The following is a 9032-nucleotide window of genomic DNA, read 5'->3' on the forward strand; positions in this document are numbered from 1 at the left end:
ATTTAAGATGAAGTATTGGCCCATCCCCCATGATCACACCTGGGTGCCACAGCAATGTGGGGTGGTATCACCTGGTCTCTGGTCCTATCCTGTCAGATCAGTTTCCAGGTTGGGAGAATCACCACCCCCTCTCATAGTGCAATCAGAGGGCTGGCGTCCAAGCCTAACAATTTCAGCTCTTTTATTAGGTAGCATATGAGTGGCAAGATTTTCCATGTGCATTTTCAGGACTGAAGGACTTCCAGCCCCAGCACTAGCATCATGGGGGTGAGGGAGATTCTGGAATCTAAGTCAACCAGAATTGATTGTCTTAAGCACAGGGTCACAGTGGTTTCCAGGGAGCTTCACAAGAGGCCCTTTCCTTTTCTGGGAGACTAGCCTGCACAGGGTTTGTCTTGGGCAAATTAATTCTTTCCTCTCTGGATACTTGGGTTGTTTCTGGGCATTTACTGTTGGAAATAGCACAGCAATAAATAGCCTTGTGCTCACTTCCCTTGGGAAATGTACCATCGTATCTCTGATATTGAGTTCTGGAAGTGGGATTGCTAGGTCAAAAGTCTTGTGCAAATTTTCTAGATATTGCCCAATCCCCTGAGTTGGGGTTGTGCTATTTCATCTGAATTTTAAAAAGTTCTCTATGTAAATCCAACATGCAGCCAATATTGAGAAACACTTTTCTAGAATAGGTTTTCAAACATTTCTTATATCACTTGAAAACTACTTGGGCTGTTTGGTTTCTTGGTAAATCTCTGATTAGGTCTTCAGTTAAAACGATTCCCTCTAAGGCATGAGCACTGACATTATAGGCCCTTAAACCCTGTCTGAATTTAACAGTAATGCCCTCCATTCATATAGCAGTTTCACCAATGCCATCTCCTTTCATCTTCACAGAATTTCAATGACATAAAGAAAACTGATCTTATTCTCTCCATGTTATGGTTTTGGTGCATAGAGGGGAGCCAATGAACTATACTGCAGAGCTTATTATTCTGGGATGCTTGGACAGGGTTTGGACGGGGACCTCTGAGCCCCGTGGAATTATGTACAGTAGGCTTGTGAGTATATTGTGGTGGTAGTGGTAACGGGTGGAGGATTTATTCATAGTTTTCATCAGGTTCTCACAGGGGGCTATTGTTCAAAACAGGATAAGTGGAAAGAACAAGTGATTTGGAATCAGAACAAAAATTATCCACATATTTTCTGGCTATGTGATTTGTTGTGAGGGCGACTTGGCAGGGACACATGTTGCCTGGGCTGCTCAGCCAAGTTGATGAAGCTGACTTGGCTTTCACTGGTCTAGGACTTCTACTCCTTGCAAGGGTTGGGGACAGGTAACCTAAGACCAGGCTGACAAACTCCTGCTCAAGGTCAAAAACAACACAGGCCCTCACTTTGTTGTCTTTTGTAGTGTTGACACATTTCGAATTTAAATAATTTTAGTGGGATGCACTCTGTAGTTCTCTGGAGGCTCCACTATTCCCTATTGTCTCATGAACCATGATTCACAATTATTATTAGGCCAATTTCCCCTGTGATTCCTTCTTCCTGGAGAACTCTTCTCTCAGATCTTCTTATAGTTAACATCCATCTCATCATTCAGGTCTCAACTCAAATGTCACCTCTTCTGAGAAGCTCTCCTTGCTCACCCTAGATAAGTGCCACCCAAAAACCATATCATATGAATCACAAATGTGAGCCACTATGAAGGTTTAAATTTTCTGGTAGCCACATTAAGAAAAGGCAAAAGGAAACATGAAAAATTGATTTTATTTATCCATTTTATTTAATCCATTATGTCTAAAATGTTATTTCAACACGTAATCAATAAAAAAGTTATAATTGGGATATCTTACATTCTTGTTTTTGTATACTAAATCTTGAAAAATCTTCAAAATCCAACACGGTTTTTTTTTTGTTTGTTTGTTTTGTTTTGTTTTTTTGAGATGGAGTTTCACTGTATCACTCAGGCTTGGGTGCAGTGGTGCAATCTCAGCTCACTGCAACCTCCACCTCCTGAGTTCAAGTAATTCTCCTGTCTCAGCCTCCTGAGTAGCTGGGAATACAGGTGCATGCCAACACACCTGGATAATTTTTGTATTTTTAGTAGAGACAGGGTTTCACCATATTTGTCGGGCTGGTCTTGAACTCCTGACCTTAGGTGATCCACCCGCCTTGACCTCCCAAAGTGCTGGGATTACAGGCCACCACGCCTGGCCTCCAACGTGTATTTTATGCTTAACAACACATCTTCTCTTGGACCGGCCACATTTCAAATGCTCCATAGACAGATGTAGGTGAATGGCTACCATGCTGGACAACCCTCAAGCAAGGCAGCCCCCTTCTCTACTCAGAAGGCCTGTTTGATTGCTTTCAGAGCACTTATCACAATCTAAAGTTATCTTATCTATTTCTTCCTTATGCACTTACTGTTTGTCTTCCTTTCTGGAATGTAAACTCCACGAGTGCAAAGAGATTTTATTCCATTCACTGTTGTGTCCCTAGCCATCAATAAATACCTTTTAGATGGATGAATGAATGAATGCTTAATTGTTGAATAGATAAATGAGTGAATCAACGATTGAAAATGGATGAAATGGACTGATCTCTATAGGTATTTGAATATGTGACCCCTGCCTTAAGCAAACCACTGGACTTTTTGGAGCCTTTACAAAATGGGAGCAATTCCATCAACTTCATAGGGTCACAAGATTTAAACAGTGATGTGTATACAATTGTTTCATAAACTGTAAAGTCCTCTGTAAATGGCAGTTATTATTACTAAATTACTTGCCCAAAATATGTAGTTTGTAAGTAGTGTAAGAGAGGGATTTTGGAATCACATGGGCCTGGCTCTGCCATTAGCCAGTTGCATGACTTGAACACATTGTTTACCCTCTGTGACCGACTAATGCAGAATCTCCTGGAAGGTGGCCTGGCAAGCTGGATTTTTAACAAACATCCCAAGTAATTCTTATTATCAAGAAAGTTTTGGAAACATGGGATATGAAATTACTGCTCTACCAGGGCTGTCTGTGATCGCAGTTAAGATGTGGTTATCCTGTCAAGGTTAACTCCTCTTCAACTGAATGTACAGCTTCAGAAAGATGATGAGTGGTGATGAGAAAGATGATAGCACCTCATCAGCCAGATGGGCAGTATCAATTCTGGTGATCAATGGAATGACAGATGCTGCTGTCAAATCACACTCCTTCCCTCACCTGAAGGCTGATGTCAGCTTTAGCATCAATAAACTGGGTTGCCATGTGTTTTTCTGGTCAGAAATGAAAATCAAGACAAAGGACCTTAGGAAGAGAGGAACAGAATAACTCGGTCATCTAAAAGAGGGATCCTACCCCAGCGGCTACTGAGAAGGCACTGACTGGCTACCTATTGACAGGCCCCCAGGCAGAAAGTCGGGGACCCCAGTGAGGGTCAAGCACATTGTACCAGCCCTTTTGAACTCCTGGCCTCAAGCAATCCTCCCACCTCAGCCTCCCAAGTAGTTGGGATTACAGGTATGAGCCACCATGTCCGGTGGAATTAGATACTCTTACGCTTTGCTAATATGAGTGTAAACTAGTCCTTATCCTTCAATGGGATGGGAAGGTATGCAATATGGTGATAGACATAGAAATTACAGATATATGTGTCCTTGAATCTAGTAATTCCATTTCTATTATACAGTATGTTAACATATAGGAAAATACCCTGAATGCATACATACACAGGAATATTACTCAACTTTGAAAAGGAATGAAATTTTGATACATAGTACAACATGGATAAATTTTGACTGAGTGAAATAAGCTATAAATGGTTTATAAATAAGTGACTAAGTGTAATAAGCCAACACAAACAAAAATATTGTATTCTCTCACTTATATGAAGTATCTAGAGTAGTTAAATTCATAGAGGCAGAAAGTAGGATTCTCACTGCGAGGAGCTGTAGGGAGGAAAAATGGGGAGGTATTGTATAATTGGCATACACTTTCATCTTGGGGTGAAAAAGAGTCTGAAGATGGATGGGGTGGTGGTTGCATGACAATGTGAATGTACTTAACCACTGAATGCACACTTAAACATGATTAAAATGCACATTTTATTATATATATATTTTACCACGATAAAAGCAATCACATGTGCAAGTTTATTCATTACAGTGCTATTCATAATGACGAGATTGGAAACAACCTCAATATCCATCAGCAGAGGACTGGTTACATGTCAATCATAGTATGTCCATACAATACAATTCTATGCAGCTGGGAGAAAAGGGAAATTTTTTATACATTGACATGTATGTTGGATATTGTTGTTTTTCCCTCCAAATTCACTGTTTGCCATCTCTGCCTTATTTTGTTTGCTAGAAGGCTACCCACTAACGAATGAATCAACTGGGCTCCATTTTCCTCTGCCTTCCATTGGTAAGGCAGGGAGTTCCCTGGCTCTTTCTCGCCTAAGCCTCAGACTGGTGCTGGCTTTGTTTCTTTCCCAAAGGCCACAGCTCCTATTGGGCAGGGTTCTGGCAATATCTGCAACCCTACCTCACCTCTTCAAGTCTGGGCTCAATGGTGACATGCAATCACTGAGGTTGATATACTGGAATGTCCTTGGAATACTGTATAGGTAGCAGACCAAAGCCTTAGGAAGAGAGAAATGCTGAGATAGACTGCATGCAAGCTGCTAAGCCACCTGATACCAGTACATCAGGGAGGTCTGGAGGTCTTTCATCCTAAGACATTAGGAAATACATTAGTGAAAGGAAAAGAGCACCAGCATCCTTGAAAAGTTCTGTGACTGTTTTCTCTGGGCTGGAATGAAGGTAGGAGACTCTGCAGTGGAGTTAGTTTCCTGATTTGATTTCAGTGGCAATAATAGAATCCTGGAGTGGTGGAAGCCAGGCGGCAGCAAGACAAGGAGAGTGCATTTCTCTAATAAGCCACAAGGACTCCTGAGTAGAAATAAGAAGTTTTGACCTGCAGGAATCTGTGAAGGTGGCCTATTGATCATGGGGTCCTTAGAAATAAGAAATAGGCAGATTTTTAAGGTACTGCTTGATCTGATAAGTAGGAAAAACTCTAGGAAAGGTAGGCAAAAATCTGACCTGGTCTCTTGTGCATTTCCCAGATCTAAGACAGTACATTGGCTTGGGAGCCCCTTGATTGAGGAGGAGGAAGGGCCTATTGAGGAAGGACTCTGCAATGGGACAACAAACCTTCCGTAGAGGAACTTAAAATCCTTTACCAGGGTGACTATACAATGGAAAAAGTTTATACCCATACTCTCCTGGAATTACTAGATATTGGCTCTAAAGTTACGTTAGCTGTGTGCAGTACCTCATGCATGTAATCCCAGGACTTTGGTAGGCCGAGGCTAGAGGACTACCTGAGCACAGGAGTTTGAGGTTACAGTGAGCTATGCTCATGCCACTGCACTCCAGCTGGGACAACAGAGTGAAATCCTCTCACAAATAAATAAAAAATTTAAAAAAAATGATGTTAAGGTCTAGAGACCCAAATACTGTTATTGTCCACCTGCAAATAAAGGATGTATGGAAGTTGGGTGATAGATGAAGTCTTGTTTTAAGTCCATCATAGAGCGGGTCTAGTAAGATCCCTGTGCTAGTTTCTCTTGTCTCAGATTGTAGAGTGGTAACAGGTATACTCAGTAAATCAATGAACCCCTATAACGGCTCCCTGACCCATGGAGGGATGCTATTATGTTGGATGGGTTAAATACAAGCTCCTGGAACTGCCCCCATCCTGACCTCCAAGCCAAGATAGGAAACCAAAATCAACACCATACTCCTGGGGGAATTACAAAGATCAATGACTCAATCAAAGACAAAAAAATATGTAGTGGGTGATTTCTATCATGTCCTCCTTTAACTCATCTGTTTGGATAACGTGACAGCCACAAGATTTGGAGAATGACTGTAGATTATTTCAAATCTATTCAGGAGGTAATGCCATCTCAGCTGACAGTCTGGATGTAGCAAATTTACTGGCTCCAGTTAGCATTGCCTCTCCTCACCCATGACCAGTATTCTGTTATTTATTTATGACTGGATTCCAGGTCTGGTTGCTACATGTTGGATTGCTCCAGATCTTGTTGCTCCACATTGGAAGGTTCTCAGTCGTGTTCACCAAGCATCAGTAGGAATAGTAGAGGTAAGTAGGTGCTGAGGCCTTCTGAGTCACACCATTGCTACCCTTTGGCTGGTTGTTTTCCTGACACCTCTTAGATTTCATTCTCTGGTTCTGGAACCAGGTCTTAACCTGTTTGTAGCTAAGGCTCAGGATATTGGAAAGTTCTTGCATCTGCTGGAGGCTGAGATATTTCTGTTATTATTGGGAAAGAGGAGGAAAACTGGACTATTAAAGACTGACTCCCTGAGCGTGTTATGGAGCACAGCACTTGCCCTCAGCCTTGGACTGCCAGCTCCAGACATTTACAGAGAGAAATAGCCTGTAATCGCAGCACTTTAGGAGGCCAAAGTGGGCAGATCACTTGAGCTCAGGAGTTCAAGACCAGCCTGGGCAATATGGCGAGACCCCGTCTCTACAAAAAAAATACAAAAATTAGCCATGTATGGTGGCACTTGCCTGTAGTCCCAGCTACTCAGAAAGATGAGCTGGACTATTAAAGAGCTGGACTATTAAAAAAAAGTCTAAGGCTTTAGGACTTTTTTTCTGGAAGATCTGAGAGAAATATGACCTCCTGAAGTAAAAGTATCAAGAAGTTGGGATGAAGTGAGTTGCCTCTGTAATGGGAGGCAATCAGTTCAGTCCAGCTGGTATTCCTTATGAACAGTTAACAGAGGAAAAAAAGCTGCACGCCTGGTTATATATGGGCCTTTTTGGTGTGCAGGCACCAGCAGATGCAGATGGCTGTTGCATTTCAGCCTCACTTACAGATGGCCAAGAAAGTGTAGTGAAGGGATATTTTCCCAAAGGACAAAACTTCAGGTGGCACATTTAGTTGTCCACTTTGCATGGAAAAAGAAATGGCCTGATGTATGGATCAGTGCTAATTTTTGGGTAATGGCTAATGTACTGGCCCACTTTTCAGAGAAAGAATGAGACTGGAAGACTAGGAGCAAAGAAACCTGGGGGAGAGGTATGTAGATTGAATGGGCACAGAGTGTGTTTTTTGATCCCTGTGAGTGCTCACCAAAGGTCAAGCACTGCAGAGGAGTTTCCCAGTAATCAGATGGACAAGACAATCCCCATCATGCATGTCAGTTAGCTTCTCTTTCCAGTTATTCTGGTGCTTGCCCAGTGGGAAAGGGTGCCATGCGACCATGGCAACGGGGATGGAGGCCGTGGACGTCCCCTCACTCAGGTGATCTGGCCACCACAGCTTGAGTGCTTAACCTACCAATAGCAGAGGCCAAAGGTGATCTTGTAATGTTGCATTATTCCCTGGAGGGATCACCCAGGCCCCTACGTCAGGTTGATTACATCAGAATCCTCTTATCATGGAGGTGGCATCAACTGGTTCTTAATGAATACACACATATTCAGATTATGGATTTACTTTCTGTTCTTATGACGCTTCTTCCAGCATTTGTTGACTTAAAGGTTTATCTTTTATTGTGGTGTCCCACTCAGCATTTGCCTTGACCAGAGGCACATTTCATGGCCAAGATGTGCAACAATGGGCTTACGCTCTCAGAACATGTTGGTCTAACTGCATGTCTCATCCCTCAGAAGTAGCTAGCTTGAAAGAATGATGGAAAGACCTACTAAAATTTGAGGTGCTGTTCTAGAGGATGCAGTACATACACGCCTTAATTCTACAGTGGTGACTGCCTTATAGTCAGGATCCAAGGGTTCGAGAACAAAAAGGTAAGGTAGGAAGGGCCCCTTTCATTATTATTCCTTTCAATACACTTCCAGAACTTCTCCCTTTAATCTTCATAACCATGGATTTGGTGGGTTTGGGGGTCCAAGTGCCCAAGGAAGGAATGCTTTTCCATGCTTAACAGTCAGGCAGTCCTGTTAAATGGAAAATTGAGCCCCGCTGTTTGGCCGTTTTTGGCTCTTGTGCTACTTAACCTAGAGGGAGCTAAAGGGGTGACTCTTACGGACGCATGATAGAAACCAATTAATAATGAGAAAATGAGTTGTTACCTTACCAGGTAAGGTGTTTGAAACCCAGGGGATTCACTATAGCAATCAGTAAACGCCCCAAAGACTGAGGTATGACAGGAAGGGGGTTTGGGTCACCCTATCAGGTAAAGAACCCCATCCAGCTAAGGTTTTAGCAGAGGATAAGGGGAACGTGGAATGGGTAGTGGAAGAAAAAAGTCATGATTCTCAAATTAGAATTTGTAACTGGTTAGAGAATTAAGGAATGTAGCAGCTGTTTTGTGTTAATTGTCTCCCCTACCCCCTTCTCTGTTAATTTTTTTTGCAATGTTTTAATAAAATATAATTTATATAACATACAGTTCACCATTTGAAAGTACATAATTTAATGTTTTTTTCTATATTCATAGCACCACCATCTAATTCCTGCACATTTCCATCATCTCAAGAAGAAACCTCTGTCAGCAGTTATTCTCTATCACCTCTTCCCCCATCTATTGGCTAATGGATTAATCACTAATCTACTTTTTGTCTGTATGGATTTGCCTATTCTGGACATTTCATATAAATGGAATCATACAATATGTGGCCTTTTGTGTCTGCTGTACTTTAGAACAATGTTTTCAAGGTTTATCCGTATTGTAGCATGTATTAGTACTTCATGCCTTCTTATGGCTAATATTCCCTTGTATGAATATACCATATCTCGTTTATCAATTTACCAACTGATAAACATTAGGGTTGCTTCTACTTTTTCCTATTATAAATAATGCTGCTATAAACATTCATGTACAAGTTAGACTTGTCCTACAAAAACTTGTACAAAACTTTGTACAAAAACCTGTACAAAACCATGTACAAAAACTTGTAGAAAAACTTCTTGTACATGTACAAGTTTCTGTTGACATATGTTTTCTTTTCTTTTGATTATATACCTAG

General features: G+C 41.6%; 2 pseudogenes; both read right to left on the reverse strand.

Annotated features, from left to right (window-relative positions):
* Window positions 2901-3214, reverse strand: RN7SKP256 (RN7SK pseudogene 256; annotated as a pseudogene).
* On the reverse strand, window positions 6063-6345 carry NANOGP3 (Nanog homeobox pseudogene 3; annotated as a pseudogene).

This window comes from Homo sapiens, chromosome 6 (assembly GCF_000001405.40).
Source record: "Homo sapiens chromosome 6, GRCh38.p14 Primary Assembly".
Taxonomy (NCBI): Eukaryota; Metazoa; Chordata; class Mammalia; order Primates; family Hominidae; genus Homo; species Homo sapiens.